Source organism: Homo sapiens, chromosome 2 (assembly GCF_000001405.40).
Source record: "Homo sapiens chromosome 2, GRCh38.p14 Primary Assembly".
NCBI lineage: Eukaryota > Metazoa > Chordata > Mammalia > Primates > Hominidae > Homo > Homo sapiens.
The window spans coordinates 13,533,643-13,550,318 of record NC_000002.12 but is presented as its reverse complement, the minus strand read 5'-3'; the positions used below and the strand labels follow the sequence as shown (position 1 = coordinate 13,550,318).

The window sequence follows — 16,676 nt, the reverse complement described above, 5'->3', positions numbered from 1 at the left end:
TAGTTGAGAGTATACAGAATAAGCCTGGCATGGTTTACAAAACAATTTGTGTGTCCCATAGTATGTGGGAGACACACATTGCATGTCAGCCATTCTTCTTTTTTTTGCTTCTTTATCATAATTATTATTGCTACTATTTACATTTAAAAACATGACAGTGATAATTATCACAGAATACATACAGTGCTGCAGAATTAATATTCCCCCAACCCTTATCATATAGCTGGGCACACTGAGGAGGACAGAGTTCTCTGATCAAAGTCTTAAAGTGAGTTATTTGCAGCTCAGCAAATTGAAATCTGGCTATTTTCTAGTTTCTAGAATAAAATACAATACCCCATGTTTGATAATATTTCACAATAAAAAGTGAGAAAAGTAAGTACAATGGTAGGGAATAAGGGATGTTTTCAGAAGCAGTATGGAGGAAGATAAAAATAACCAAATACGAGCTACATTCTCGTTTGACAGGAAACAAATTGTTCAGATGTGATTGAAGTGGACGGAGTGGAATTAGAATAGCCTGATGTGTTCACCTGTGTTCTAGAGAGTGGATTTTGGATGAGTCTAAAATTTTAATCCCTATGTATTTGAACAAGGATAGAAGAGACTCACAACGCCCATGGAGAAATCCTCGTTTGCAATAGCAAGGAAATAATATGGACACATTCAGCTAGAACTGCTTCTAGAGCATGTAGCTAAATTATTTGGGGTCTCTAGTGCCACACACTTGTCAGGATGCAGACATAACACATATTTTTAAAAGACCTTTCCTTTACCCGATGAACATCTAGAAACAGAATTCTTACATTTAACATGCAATATTTATTTTGTGACCTTATGATTATAGTGAATAAATTCTAATCTCTGATGTTTTTTGTGTTTAAAGCTTTTTTTTTTTTTTTTTTTTTTTTTTTTTTTTTTTTTACTGATAGGCTTTATTAAAGTAGTTTTAAGTTTATGGGAAAATTAAGTAAAAAGTACAGAGGGTTCTCATATACTATCTTTTCTCTCTCATCCCAGCCACAATTTCCCTATTATTAGCATCTTCTTTGGCACATTTGTTAGAATTGGTGGACAAATATTGATATATAATTATTAACTAGAGACTACAGTTCACACTAGGGTTTATTCTGTGTTTTTTACAGTTCTATTGGTTTTGACAGATACATGATGCCATGTACCTACTATTACAGTACCATACCAAAATAGTTTTGTTATTCCACAAATCCCCTATTTTCCATCTGTTCATTTCTCCCTCCCTTCCCCCAAACCCCTACCAACCACTGAACATTTCGCTGTGTCCACAACTTTGCCTTTACCAGATTGTCACAGAGATAAAATCATACGGTATGTAGTCCTTTTAGCCATCTTAGGCTGGCTTCTTTTACTTAACCAGGACATCCTGTAGTGACTTTTAGGCTTGCTCGTTTCCACAGAGAGAAAGTTCCTAGCAGTGAGATCTGTTTGTTACTAATATGCACTGAAAGTTTTTCATGGTTTTCATGTCTTTGTTGCTTTTTTTTTTTTTTTTTTTAGATGGAGTCTTACTCTGTCACCTAGGCTGTAGTGCACTGGCGCTGTCTTGGCTCACTGCAACCTCAGCCTTTCAGGTTCAAGCAGTTCTCTGCCTCAGCCTCCTGAGTAGCTGGGATTACAGGTGTCTGCCACCACACCTGGCTCATTTTTGTATTTTTGGTAGAGACGGGGTTTCACTATCTTTGCTGGGCTGGTCTTGAACTCCTGACCTCAGGTGATCCACCTGCCTCGACCTCCCAAAGAGCTGGGATTACAGGCATGAGCCACCACGCCTGACCAGCTCATTTCTTTTTATCACCAAAAAAAATTCCATCGTATGCATGTACCACAGTTTGTTTATCCATCCACATATTGAAAGATATCTTGGTTGCTTCCAGTTTTTACCAATTATAAATAAAGCTGCTATAAACATCTGTGTTCAGGCTTTTATAAGGACATAAGGTTTTTATACGGACATTTTCAACTTACTTAAATACCTAGGAATGTGAATGCTGAATTTTATGGCATGAGTATGTTTAGCTTTGTAAGGAACTGCTAAACTGTCTTCCAAAGTGGTTGTATATTTTTCATTCCCAGCAGCAATTAACTGCCCTGGTTGCTCCATATTCTTATCAACATTTGGTGTTGTGTTTTAGATTTTAGCCATTCTAATAGATGTGTAGTATTTTATTGTTGTTTTCATTTGAAATTCCTGAATGACATATGATGTTCAGCATCTTTCCATATGTTTATTTTCCTTTTGCATATCTTCTTTGGTGAAATGCCTGTTCAGATCATTTGCCCATTTTTAAATTAAGCTTTTTGATTTTATTTTTGATGTTTAAGAGTTCCTTTTATATTTTGGAAACAAGTCCTTTATCAGCTATTTGTTTTGCAAGTATTTTCTCCCAGTTGTGGGTAGCCTTTTTATTTCCTTAACAATGTCTTTTGCAGAATGATCATTTTTTAATTTAATAAAGCCCTACTTATCAATTTATTCAGTCATGGATTGTATTTTTGGTGTTGTATCCAAAAAGTCAACACTAAACTCAAAGTCACCTAGATTTTCTCATGCTATTTCCTTGAAAGTTTATGGTTTTGCATTTTACATTTGGGCCTATGATCCATTTGGGGTTAACTTTTGTGAAAAGTGCAAGATGTGTGTATATAGATTTTCTGCAGAGGATATGGATGTCTAGTTGTCTACTTGTTCTAGCACTATTTGCTGAAAAGATTTTTTTTTCTCCATTGAATTTTTTTTTGCCTTTGTTACAGTCAGTTAATTGTATTTGTGTTGGTCTATTTCTGGGCTATTTTGTTCTGTTAATCTACTTGTGTATTCTTTTACTAGTACAAATTGCCTTAATTATTGTAGTTTCATAGTAAGTGCTAAAGTAACATAATTCAGTCCTCTGACTTGGTTCTTGTTCTCAATATCAAAATGGCTATTCTGGGCATTTTGCCTTTCCTATACTTTTAGAATCAATTTGTTGATATCCACAAACTAATTTGCTAGTGGTTTGATTTGTAGTGCATTGAAACTATAGATCAAGTTGGAAGAAAACTGACATCTTAATAGTACACAAGATGTTTACTGATCTTAATTGTACTTAGTACTAATCAGCAATTAAGATAAAGAATACATTTCCCTATCCATGAACACAAAATATTTCCGTATTTATTTCTGTAATTTTTTTTCATCAGAGCTTTGTAATCTTCCTCATACAGATCTTATACTTTCAATCCATACCTAAGTTTTCAAAATTTTGGTGTTCATGTAAATGGTTGTGTGTTTTTTATTTCAAATTCTAATTGTTCATTGTTTATATATAGGAAAGCAATTGAATTTAACTATTAATTTTGTGTTCTGCAGTCATGCCATAATCACTTGTTAGTGACAGTTCTTTGTTGATTCTTTGAGATTTTCTACATAGAAAAGCATGTTACTTTAGAATAAATATCCCAATTATTTTTTAATTTCCTTTCCTTGTTTTTCATTAGCTAGAATTTCCACTATGATGTTTAGTAAGAGTGATAAGATAGGACATCCTTGACTTGTTCCTGACTTTAGAGAAAAAGCATCCAGTTTCTCACCATTAAGAATAATGTTAACTGTACATTTTTGTAGATGTGCTTTATCAAGATAAGGAAGTTTCCCTCTATTCCTACTTTACTGAAAATGTTTGTCTTGAATAAGTGTTGAATTTTGTCAAGTGTTCTTTCTGCATCTGTTGATATGATCATGATTCTTCTTCTTTAGCCTGTTAAAACAGTGTATAATCTTAATTGTTTTTTGAATGTTGAACAAGCCTTGCATGTGTAGCATAAAACCCATTTGGGTGTAATGTCTTTTTAAATACATTGTTTAATTCTGTTCTCTGATATTTTGTTGAGGGTTAAGTTCATGAGATATACTGGCCTGGACTTTTACTTTCTTGTAATATCTTTGACTGGTTTTGATATTAAAGTAATGCTGACCTTGTATATTTTATTTTAAAATATTCCTTCTGCTTCTATTTTTTGGAAGAGTTTGCACTTAATTGTTATCATTTCTTTCTTAAATGTTTGGTAGAACTCACCACTGAAACTCTCTTGGCATGATTGTTTCCTCTTTTTATTACTCCATCTTATCGTTCCATGTTAGAGTGACTGTGATTTTTTTCATTTCCATTGACATTAAAGTCTACAATTAGATTTCAAAAGAACACTAATGGTGGATAAACGGTTTCATAAGAAATGCATTCTAAGCTGAGTTTCTGAGTATAATCTAAAAATCTTGGCCTCACCATTCTGTGAATACAGTATAAGGTCCTATGTCTTTCTATATTCATACTATGACTTCAAGCCCTCACTTGTCAAACTGAGGGTCCAATTTTTTAAACACCACCATTTTATGTACATTTATCTAGAACTTATTCCTTGTAACTCAAATAGGGCCACTTGAGGATTATCAGAAAATAGGATACCTTGAAGTAGATTCTGCAAATATTGGTCTCTGGAATTTATCTCCACAGCTAAAATTCTTTGTAGTTGTCACCTTGTTGTGATCTAGAGTAAACTAAAAATTTTCATGCAGAATTCTGGCAGTCTTAGCACAATAGGTTTGAATAGACTACAGATTCCTCCTAGCTCCACTGCTTATGCATTCTCATGACAATTGCAGGAATTGACTACAGGTGACATTCCTAGACCTCTGTGGCTCCTAAACTGTGAGGAATAACGATCTTTCTGTCACTGTCACATTGGGTCATGAGTGAGTCACAGAAACCTGCCCTGACCTCAGTGTCATATTTAGTGGTTAAGCTATATTATCTCCAACATAGATCTATCTTGAGTTCCAGAATGTCTGCACCTTAACCAGTGAAATCATCAGCAGAACATGTGTCCATAATTATGATTCCACTCCAGCTACATAACCATGGGTGTGAGCCCAAGTCTCGAGTTCAGAAATTATCATCTCTGATGATAGAGATCTACTGAGACAGCATGGTCAGTCTCTGCCAGTTGATCTTATGCTGGACCATGCCACATTAACAGATACATTTTTAATATTTTGAATATCAATCTAATGCTCTTTCTACAGTTTTCTAATTTCATGTGAGTCTTCTGTGATTCCATTGAAATACCTACGAGCAGTGAATGTTTAATGCTATATGTCAACTTGACTGGGCCATCGGGTATCCAGATATTTGGTTAAACATTATTACTGGATGTGTCTGTGAGGATATTTCTGGAAGAGATTAGCATTTAAGTTGGTAAAATAATGTGGGTGGAAATTATCCATTTAGGGCCTGAATAGAACAAGAGACAGGGAAATGGAGTTCATTCTCTCCACCTGATATGATTTGGCTCTGTATCCCCACCTGAATTTCACCTAGAATTGTAATCCCCATGTGTCATGGGAGGGAACTGGTGGGAGGTGATTGGATCATAGGGGTTGGTTTCCCCCATATTGTTCTCATGACAGTGAGTGAGATCTCACAAGATCTGACAGTTTAAAAGTGTTTGGCCGTTCTTCCCTGTATTATTCTGTTCTCACATTGCTACAAAGACATGCCTGAGACTGGATAATTTTTAAAGGAAAGAGGTTTAATTGACTCACAGGTCTACATGGTGGGGGAAGCCTCAGGAAACTTACAAATCATGGCAGAAGGCAAGAGAGAAGCAAAGGCACATCTTTTATGGTGGCAGGTGAGAGAGAGCACATGAGTGAAGGGGAAAGAGCCCCTTAAAAAACCATCAGATCTCAGCAAGGGGGAAACTTCTCCCATAATCCATTCACCTCTCACCCGGTCCCTCCCTGGACACATGGATTATGGAAATTACAATTCAAGATAAGACTTGGATGGGGACACAAAGCCTAACCATATCACCCCCACCGCTCTATCTCTCCTGCTGCCTTCTGAAGAAGGTGCTTGCTTCCCTTTTGCCTTTCACCGTGATGGTAAGTTTCCTGAGGCCTACTCAGCCATGTGGAACTGTAAGTCAATTAAGCCTCTTTTATTTATAAGTTACCCAGTCTCAGGTAGTATCATTACAGCAATGTGAAAACAAACTAATACACCACCTGACTGCTTAAGCAGGGACATGATTCTGGCTTCAAACTGGAACTTTATGAGCCACTCTACTGGTTATCAGGCCATTATATCAGGACTGGAATTCATACCACCAGCTTTTTTGGGTCTCTAGCTTGCTGATTGTAGATTGTGGGACTTCTAAGCCTCCCCAGTCATGGAACTATATATACATATAATATATACAAATATATACATATAATATATACATATATATAAGCAATGTCTATGCACTGCTCAGTAGCATTTGCAACCTATTTTTGAATGAATATATTTGGTGATGTCCTGAGAGATGCCCAACTTACTAGACAAAAGCCACTGGATCTGCCACTACCTAGTTGTATGACTTTGAATAAATACAGAAACTTGTCTGCTAATCAATTTGCCAATCTGCAAAGCAAGGGATATAGTCCCCACTCTTGGTCTCATATGGTATTGGAAGGAAACTAAAAAGACATGTGTGAAACCACAATGCAGGTTTCTCAACAGCAGTAGTAGTGTCACTTTAGGACATATAATTCTTTGTTGTGGGGGCTGCCCTGAGTAATCCAGGATATTTAGCAACATCTCTGGCCTCCACCAGCCAGGTGCCAATAGCACACTCCCGGAAGTGACAACAAAACCCTCTCCATGAAGTTGAATTTTGAGGAAAAGTGAAAAAAAAAAGAACTCCCTCTAGATATTGCCACATGGTCCCTGGAGGATAAAACTGCCCCTAGTTTAGAAGCACTGGTATAATAAGTGGCTTATTCAGACTAAAAGGAATTTTTAAAAATTATTTATTAGTGAATGCTCTATTAACTGGATCTCTAGGATCTTGATGTATGCTGCCAATTATGTCTCAATTCACTTTCCATACACCCAAGAATTAAAATATCTGAATGAGATTATGAACAAAAGACTAAAATATACATTTAAATATAAAAACATACATGATATATATAAACTAAAAGATACAAAATACATAATTTTCCAATTCCTCTTCACTACAGAACTGATACAATATTTAACATATTTAACCATGTTCTGCTTTGATTGAAACTACTCTTTCATGTACTACTCATTTGTGTGTGTGTGTGTGTGTATTACACATCAATTTTATCCAGACTATGTCAATAAATGGTGGCCCATATAACTCTACACAGTATCCCCATCTCCCGTGGAGTCCATGCAGGGGTACCATGAACCTAACTTGCCATTCTTTTGAAAATATAATTGGGCTAGACTCTCACTGTGCTATAACCTTGCCTGTAGCCTTCCCTATTTTGCCTGCAAACAAGTGCTCTAGAAAAGTGCCATTTAGCGAGGAGAAATTTGACATGTATATGTAAGTGCTATTATTTGAATGTCTTCTCCATATTTCCTATGTTGAGAATTTAATCCTCAGTGTGGCACTGTTGAAAGGTAGTGCCTTTAAGAGGTGACTGAATCATGACAGAGAGCCCTCATGGATGCATTAATCTATTCGTGGATTAATGGATTATCGTGGGAGTGAAACTGGTGGCTTTTTCAGAAGAGAGCTCTGGGCATGCACGTGAGTATGCTCAGTACGCTCACCATGTGATACCTTGTACCACCTCTGAACCTCTGAATGCTGCAAAGTCCTCACTAGCAAGTAGGCTCTCACCAGATACATACTGTTAACCATGGATTTCCCAGCCTTCATAACTATAAGAAATAGATTTATTTTCTTTATAAATTACTCTGTTGAAGGTTTTCTGTTATAAGCAACAGAAAACAAACTAATACAGTAAGATATTCCAACTGTCTGCATTTCTTATCTTGGTGAAAACTTGAAGATATACCTTCCTCGGCATTTTCAGATTCATTGATCTCAGAGCTGGACAAAATGTGAGAGTCAGTTTAGAGTTAAGCGAACAAGGTCCAGAAATGGGTAGAGATTTGCTTGAATCAAGTGAATGCTGGTGGTAGACGTAAGGCAGGAAGTCATTTCCACATTCAGCATTTTCTTTTTCTTTTTTGAGACAGAGTTTCATTCTTGTTGCCCAGGGTGGAGTGCAACGGCGCCGTCTTGGCTCACTGCAACCTCTGCCTCCAGAGATCAAGCAATTTTCCTGCTTCAGCCTCCCAAGTAGCTGGGATTACAGGCACCTGCCACCATGCCTGGCTAATGTTTTTTTTTTTTTTTTGTATTTTTAGTAGAGATGGGGTTTCACCATGTTGGTCAGGCTGGTCTCGAATATTCAGCTTTGCCCGTATATTACACACTTTTTATTGCTGGGAACAATACCATACTGTGCTGAACTGAAAATTTAACAGGCAGTATCTACCTACATTCTAACCTTTCCATGTTTAAGTTTCTATTGGTGAGTCTGCTTTTTGATTGATTAGTTCTCCAATTTGCTCAATAAGCCCCAGTGTTATTTTCAAGTACATTACAGAGGCTTGAGAGAATTTGTGTCAGCTCCTAGGTCTTTTCCCTTATTGTGGTATGTGCCAGGTAACAGTATTACCTCCTGGAGATGATCCTGTGTTTATTAATCCATTGTTCAAAACTACATTGTAAGCTATGCTTGCTTAAAAATTTTTCATTTTCCATGACACTGAGAATAAAAAAGGTTATCCGCAACTTAAAGGTCACTCACTCAGTTTCTAATCCCTCAGAACAAAACAAAACAAAAAGTATGTGCCAATAGATATTAAAATTCATTACAAAAATAATTGGACTTTCTTGTTTAGTTGTCATCTTCTGTCCATTAAATAGAAACATTATTAGCAGAAACAAGTCTATATTCTGAGGAAAATACTGATTCAGGAATACTATTTGCCAACAAAATGCTTATTGCCTGCAAAAACGAATTCATGTCTTTTCATTATGGCTTTAACTCTAAGGCTGACGTTAATTAAGAATCACAGGAAACCATAAAAGTTATCACCTGTTTTCTCTGTAAAGTTACTCAACGCAATTGTATAACTACAAAAGAAATTATTCATTTTCTATTCAAAGTCACTCCTTTTCCTTCAGAATTCCATTGTCTTTTCCATGGAAAAAAATAAGCAGCCCTAGGAAAAGTGGAATAATATCGGAAATAATATGGTTACATATTAGCTGTGATCATGTGGAATATTGTTCACAAATATTTGAAACTGCTTCCTGTGAAGCCAAGAATTGAACAAACTAAACTGCCTTGTGAAGTTGAACTTGGCCCTGTGACTGCCTTTGGCTGATGGACAGTTTTTTGGTGTTTGTTGTTGTCATTGTTATTTTTTATCCCAGGGATTTTGGAGCCAGTGCATGTTGGGCCACATTCTCTCTGTCTGTCTTCTCTGCCTCTTGGACTGCGGCAGTGGTCTCCAAATGAAGGCATGGAGAGCCTGGGTCCCTTTGTTAGAATGATGAGCAGTTTCTACTTGCCAAAAAGCAAAGGTTCACCCTGAGCTAAAGCATTTTGAAAAAGCTTCAAAGGTGATTCTGATGGACAAGATTGAGACCCCTATTAATTAATAAATGTTCAGTTCTCAGAGATTGCTTTGCTTTTTAGCCGTATATGTGTCTCCACCATAAGGCTATGACTGAACTCTCACCTGTCAAGGCCCTCCTTCCATAAGACTTTCAAAAGTTTTCCTAGAATCTATCACTTCTTCTCAGTTACATTTATACTTCCTGTCATTTATTAGAAACTACTCTTCATACATCCACTTTTTTCAGAAGATTAAGGAATAGTTGCCACAGCCTTTGCATATAAGAGTTCCAGACAATTAGGCATGTCATTTTTCTGATACAAAGTGGTATTTTGGGGTGGTTTGTTAACAAAAAAGAAATGGCTTTTATTTCTCATTCACACAAAAGCAGAATGGGAAACCTGTATAGGTGAAAAGAGAGTAGGCTTTGCAGTGAGATACACTTGACTTTCAATTTTTGCCCTGCTACTAGATATTCATTAATTTGCCTCTTAGACATTAATTGCTTTATATGTAAACCATGCTATTTCTTTGCATATGTATCATGTAAGAATGTTGGGAGATACATAACGGACAGATGGATGTGAAGGAATGGAAGCGAATGTCTTCTAAAACCTTTCAAAGTGCCAGGAAAAATAGAAGGTTTGATTTTGTCTTTTAAAAGACTTTTATGTTTTACAATTTTCAGTAAGAGGTAATATGATTAAAATAAGACTGTCCTATGCATAGTAATAGGTGGTCTACATGTATCAGCGCTAATGCTTACAACAACCCTGCTACATAGATATTACATCATTTTATGAATGTGAATCAAGTCCAGATCTCTCTTACTCCAAAGCTCATATTCTTTTTATTAAACCGTCTTCACTCCGTCAAGAAGCTTTCCTTAATTCTCATTGACATCCTCTGACATACGCATGACACATATCTGCAGTTCTAGAAATTGTGTCTAGAGTTTCACATAACCAACTTATCATCCAGACAGGATCAGTCCTATTTCCACTTTTATATAAGGGGAAACTGAGGCTCACATAGTTTACATGATATTCTAAGGCCACCCATGTAGTGAACAACAGAGGCAGAGTATATAGACTGAATACACACCCACTAAGTCATCTCTTGGTCTCTATTTTTTTTCTGTTTATATCCATTCACAATTTCCTTCCCTTGCTCCTTATTGTCCAACAGCAATTCCATTTTCCTTTGAGTCCACTCTCCTTTCAATTATTTCTCACAATGTCTTCCCTTCCCTTTGGGACAATAAGAGGTTAATGAGCTAGATCTGAGCAGAAACAGATTGCAGTGGTTGGCATGTACCTGCTGAGCACTAAATCACCAATGATCCCTCATCAGCCTGCTCTCAGCAGGCTCCACTTCAGCCTGCCTTGTGGATCCATTAAATGCAGGCAGCTGTATAAATTCTATTCTTTTAAGGGTAGAGAGCTGTTTCATGCACTCTTTAAACGGATCTTACAAATGTAGCATCCGAAGGCTTATCATAGCATAGACCTTCTTTTGCTTGAGGGCTAGATCTTTTTAGAAACTAAAGGTAAAAGAAGGATGGTTGGCACAGCAGGCACCCAGAGGTATCAAGATGAATTCCCAGACATTCACTAAATTAGGCCAATGAAAACAATGGAATTCGAATAGTCTTACTACTTTTTAGAAGACATACTTTATTAAGTACCAACTTGTATAGTTACCTATACACATGATTGTGGTATTTTATATTATCATATTTAATACAACACTGTGATTTTTTTAAATTATATTTCCCCTCTCACAAATGGGGAAATTAAGAATGAGATTGGCCATCTTACTGAACACACTAACAGGTCTTGTAACGGGTGACTTTCTGCATTCTGGAATGTTTAGGCATTACATGTTGTGGGAGAATAAAAGCACTAGATGTATGGAGGATTGAGAAAGGCCAATAGGTTCTAAAGTTCACTCTTTCTGACTCTTACCTACTAAACTGCATCTGCCTATCAAAAGTATAATACTATAAAATGATTCATGATTTCATGAATCGATGATTTTATGGATTTGGTTAAACTGACTAAAGTACTCTTACATTGACCTTTTTTCTCGGTAATCATCTGTCTCATTTTTACTCGAATACAAATGAAATAGCTACATTATCCACCTATTCCAAGATTGTCTTAGCCACTCAGATAAGTTTTACTCAAAGCTCCATGCTGTTAGGAAAGAAAATAAGCTAAGTGGAGTATGGCTTATAATTTTTCTTTAAGAAATGTGCTCTTGCTTTCGTTTTGATACATATTCACTTAAATGAGCTTTAAGGGTGATAATTTTCCTTCTCAAATGTCAGAATAGATTGAGGAAGATATTTATGTCCAACAGAAAACTGTTGCAGATGAAGCTGTATTGAAAGATATTGTTATACACTAGAATCCAACATCAGGATTCTGATGATTTTCCATCTGAAATGGGCTGGACATTTGCAGGGCAGTGGAGCTCAGTCCAGTTGAAATTTCCATGTGGGAACAAAGGCAGAGAAAAGATAATCTATGTTTTGTAGGCAGGGTGTGTTTTAAAGAGCATGCCAAGGAAATATTTCTTGCCTGCACATGTGGCTTTGCCTCTGATCCTGTTTGCTCAATGCATATTTTAGCTTACTAGATAAGAAGGCACACCAGTGCGAAAGAGAGGTCCACGGGACCTGGACCAAGCATGGCCAGTGGCCCCTTGTATTAGTTCGTTCTCACACTGCTATGAAGAAATACCCGAAACTGGGTAATTTATAAAGGAAAGAAGTATTAATTGACTCACAGTTCCACATTGCTGGGGAGGCCTCAGGAGACTCACACTCACGGCGGAAGGCAAAGAAGAAGCAGGCACCTTCCTCGCAGGGTGGCAGGATGGAGTGAGTGCAAGTAGGAGAAAAGCCAGACACTTATAGAATCATCAGATCCCATGAGACTCAATCATTATCACGAGAAGAGCATGGGGAAAACTGCCCCCATGATCCAATTGTCTCCACCTGGTCCCACTCTTGCCAGGTGAGAAATTACGGGGATTACAATTCAAGATGAGATTTGGGTGGTGACACAGAGTCAAATTATATCACCCCTTTTCTAATTTTCCCCCTTTCTGTGGGAGTTTTAGTGTGTAAGTGTGTGAAGACAGGTAGGATTTATATGCCTAATGTTGGGGACCATAAAAATGTTTATTGTAATGTGTGCCTGCTCTTTATCCACTGAATCCACTGAGAGGAACGAGGGAAGAGAAAACAAACTGTTTCCAATCCTCCTCCCCTCCTCAAACAACTGTCCTCCAGTTATATGAAAACTACGCTTGGAATGAATTTTTTAGATTAGAAGGAGATCGAAGGGGCTATCTCTTTATAATGTTCAACAGCCGTGGTGACTAAATTGTTCACTCTGTAGCCATTTGGACTGAGTTTGGAATCCAAAGTCCATTTATTTAATGGGGGTATGAGGAATGGCGTCAGGGTTAACATGTGCAGCGCAAAATAAAAATGTTTTTGTGAGTGTAAGGGGAAACAAACAACTTTATATAATCAGAACATCGTACTGATATTCTTCTATTCAGATGAAGAGCACCTGATGATGTTTGCTTCCTTATTTTCTCTCCAATGAATACCTCCCGTGATTCAGACTGTTGAGGCACAATGTGACTTTTTCTTTTATTTATTTACCGAGACCTTGGCCTTGGATGAATAGTTATTCTTGCCCTTGTGTGTCTAACTTCCAGTGTGTCACTTACCCTATATTGCACTTTAGGAGCAGCGTGAAATCATTGTAAGCCTGTGGGATTTGTAATTTTTAAAATCCTGAATTTAAGTAACATATATGAATATTTATTCTTAAGATATTAGAGACAAAGCTATAAATTCCTATTTAATTCAATTGGCATAGTGATCAAATTCAATGAGACCATGCCTTCAATATTTTTATCAGATTTATTGAGGATATATAACCCCATTATCAAGATATGCATCACTCCCAAAGATTCTCCCATGCCCTTTTTTTCCCCCATGTCCTTTTGTAGTTAACACTTACCCTCACACCATGTGTCTGGCAACTTAATAACCACTGAGATATTTTCATTTTCTTTAGTTCTGCCTTTTCCAAAAATTCATGTATGTGGAATCATCCAATGTGTGGTTTTCTGAGCCTAGCTTCCTTCATTTAGCACTATGTGTTTGAGATTTTTCTATGTGTTACATATACCACTAGTTTTTTTTATCGTTGAGAAGTATTCTGTTGTGTGATGCACTATGTGGTATATTACCAGTCTAAAAACATTTAGTTTATTTTCAGTTTGGAGTAATTAGGAACAAAGCCTTATTGTGAAATTTCAAATAACAGATTTTGTGTATATACAAATTTTTATTTTTTTCAGATAAATACCTTAAAAGTGGCATTGCTAGTGCAAATGTTAACTATATGTTTAACATCATAATAAATTATTTTCTGAAGTGACTGTAACATGTCCCATGTTCATGAATGATGCATAAACAATACAGTTTGTCTCTATCATCATCAGGACCCAATTGTGTCACACGCACAAGAAAACACAACACTTATTTTAACTATGTAGTGGGTTCAGTTACAATCCCCCAAAGCCACATGTCCCCAAGACTTCAGAATTAGAACTTATTTGGAATCAGGGTGCAGATGAAATTAACATAAGATTCTCAAGATGAGTTCAATTTGGAATAGGTTGGGTACTAAAATCTGACAAGCCCTAATACACGAAAATAAGGGGTAGTCGACAGAGACACACAGGGAGAGTGACCCTGTGTAGATGGAGGCAGAGATGGCACTAATGCATTTACAAGCCAAGGACACCAAGAATTGCCAAAACCACCTGAAGTCAGAAGGTGACATGACATGGATTCTACCTGAAAGCCTGCAGAGGGGAGTTTGCACTCTTGGCCTCCAGAACTCTGAAATAATACATTTCTGTTGTTTTAATCCATCCCATGTGAGGCCATTTGTTATGGCAGCCTTAGGAAACAAATACACTATTCAAACAGATGGGCAGTAGCATCGCTTTGTGATTTTAATTTACATTTTATGAAAGACTGATGTTAAGCATGTATTTATATACTTATTTTCTATATAAAATTTACATATATATGTATATATAGAGAGATGCTCTTCAAAGTTTTGCCCTTTTTTATTGTTGAGTTTTGAATATTATTTATACATTCCATATACATATCATTTATTGGTTATAGTTTTTAAATATTTTCCCCAGTGCATCACTCATCTTTTTATTTTCTTAAGACTGAATTTTTTGAATAGCAGAAGTTTTTAATGTGTTAAAGTCAAATTTGTCAATTCTTATTTGTGTGTGTTTGTGTGTGTGTGTGTGTGTTTATGTGTGTGATTTCTAAGAATTTTTTTGCCTAAACCAAGGTTAAAAAATTTCTTCTAGATATTACTCTGGAAAATTTATAGATTTAGGTAATGCATTTAGGTGTATGATCAATTTGAGCTAATTTTTATATATGCTGTGTGTGTGTGTGTGTCAAGGTTTATGTTCTGCATATAATTAGATGATTAAAGAATTACTCATTTATTATTATTTTTGGACTAAAACCTCTATTTTGCTACCTGTTTTCTGTTTGCTTCAAATGTCCTTTGACCACTTTGCACTCTGCCTGCATTTGGATTGAGTATATTTTACCCAATTATTAGCTTTCATTTATACTTTTTAAAATCACTTTCTTTATTACTGTCTTCTGTTTGGTTAGTTTGCTTTCTTTTGTTTTACCCTGGCTTTGTGGTTGCCCTAGGATTCACAATATAATTTTCGTATAAATCACTTTCTGTATTTTTGAAGAACAATGTACATGTTGGTAAAGTTTAAATGAGAACTAAGCAAAACTAAATTTATTTATTTATTATTATTTCTTCCTTTGCTTGCTTCCTTGTTTCACCACTCACTTTATGGGTCAGACTTTCAAAAACAGGTAGTCTTTTCAGTGTGCTTATTACCGGGCTAGGTAGTATGCTATTATAGATACAACCTTTTGAGGGAAAGCTTATATTTAATTAACTTGCTTTTATATCTTCAACACATAGGATATATTATGTGTCAGATAAATATATTTTTTAATTTTCTGCAATTTGACCAAAATAATTTAGATATAACATCTATTAAATATATATTTTATATATACATATAAAATAAAGTACACATACCAAAGTATACAGTTTTATGAGAGCTGTGATCTATTTACACCTGGAATATCAATACCAAAATTATCATAATGAACATATACATGATGCCCAATAGTTTCTTCATGTCCCTTTGCAGCTCATCCTCATTATTCCATCTTGTTATTACCAGAAAACTTCTAACCTACTTTAAGTATTGATTTGTTTGCAGCTTTTAAAGTTTTATATAAAGAATCATATATCATGTACTAATTATTTTTGGTGTGACTGCAAATATTTTTGGCCATTAAAAAAAGATTGTTTTATTATTTAGTTGTAAGAGTTCTTTATATATTGTAGATATAAAGCCTTTGTCAGATATATATTTCACATATTTTTCTCTCAGCCTGTGGTTTGCCTTTTCATTTTTATAGTACTGACATTTGAAGTGCAAAAGGTTTAATTTTGATGCAGCTTAATTTATAATTTATTATTTTATATTTCATCTTCTGATGTAGTATCCAACTGTTACCTAAGTCAATATCACAAAGATTTTCTTTTGCTTTTTCTTCTAGAAATGTTATACTTTTCCATTTTCCATTTACATTTTTAGGTTTTTTTGTGTGTGTGGAACAAGGCTTATTTCCTCATGTGTATTCTACCAGCACCATTGTTGAAACATATCAGATTCAATTGAATTGCCTTTGAAACAATTCAAATATAAATTGGCCGTATATTTGATGGGCTATTTTTGGACTCTCTATTTCCTTCAATTATTTAAATATTTATAATTATATTAAGCCCATATAGTCTTGAAGACTGTACCATTATACCGTATATGTAACTCCAAGCAGATTTCCTACTTGTTTCCTGGGAGCTGACTTGTGCAGCTGCAGTCAGATGGCAGCTCTGTTGAGGCAGTCTAGTGGGCCAGTCTAGCAGGGCTTTGCTCACATGTGTCATAAGTAGCAGGGTGTTGGCCAGGGTTCCCTGACTCTTTACATGGCTC

General features: G+C 35.9%; 1 long non-coding RNA gene across 5 annotated transcripts in view, besides 1 other annotated feature; it reads right to left on the bottom strand.

Moving 5' to 3' along the window:
- The window catches only part of LOC105373438 (uncharacterized), a 220,483-nt gene extending 208,078 nt beyond the window's left edge, over positions 1–12,405 (bottom strand). For all 5 annotated transcript variants that reach the window (NR_188380.1, NR_188384.1, NR_188383.1 and 2 more), the window contains exon 1: positions 12,306–12,405. This is a non-coding gene — a long non-coding RNA (uncharacterized LOC105373438). The remainder of the gene's footprint in view (positions 1–12,305) is intronic.
- Positions 10,673–11,174: an enhancer, noted in NCBI's record as "NANOG hESC enhancer chr2:13679270-13679771 (GRCh37/hg19 assembly coordinates)". NCBI's record gives its function as "activates a minimal SCP1, AML or CMV promoter by ChIP-STARR-seq in primed H9 embryonic stem cells {active_cell/tissue: H9 hESC(primed)}" and the evidence as "EXISTENCE:reporter gene assay evidence [ECO:0000049][PMID:30033119]".
- Positions 12,406–16,676: the final 4,271 nt, after the last annotated feature.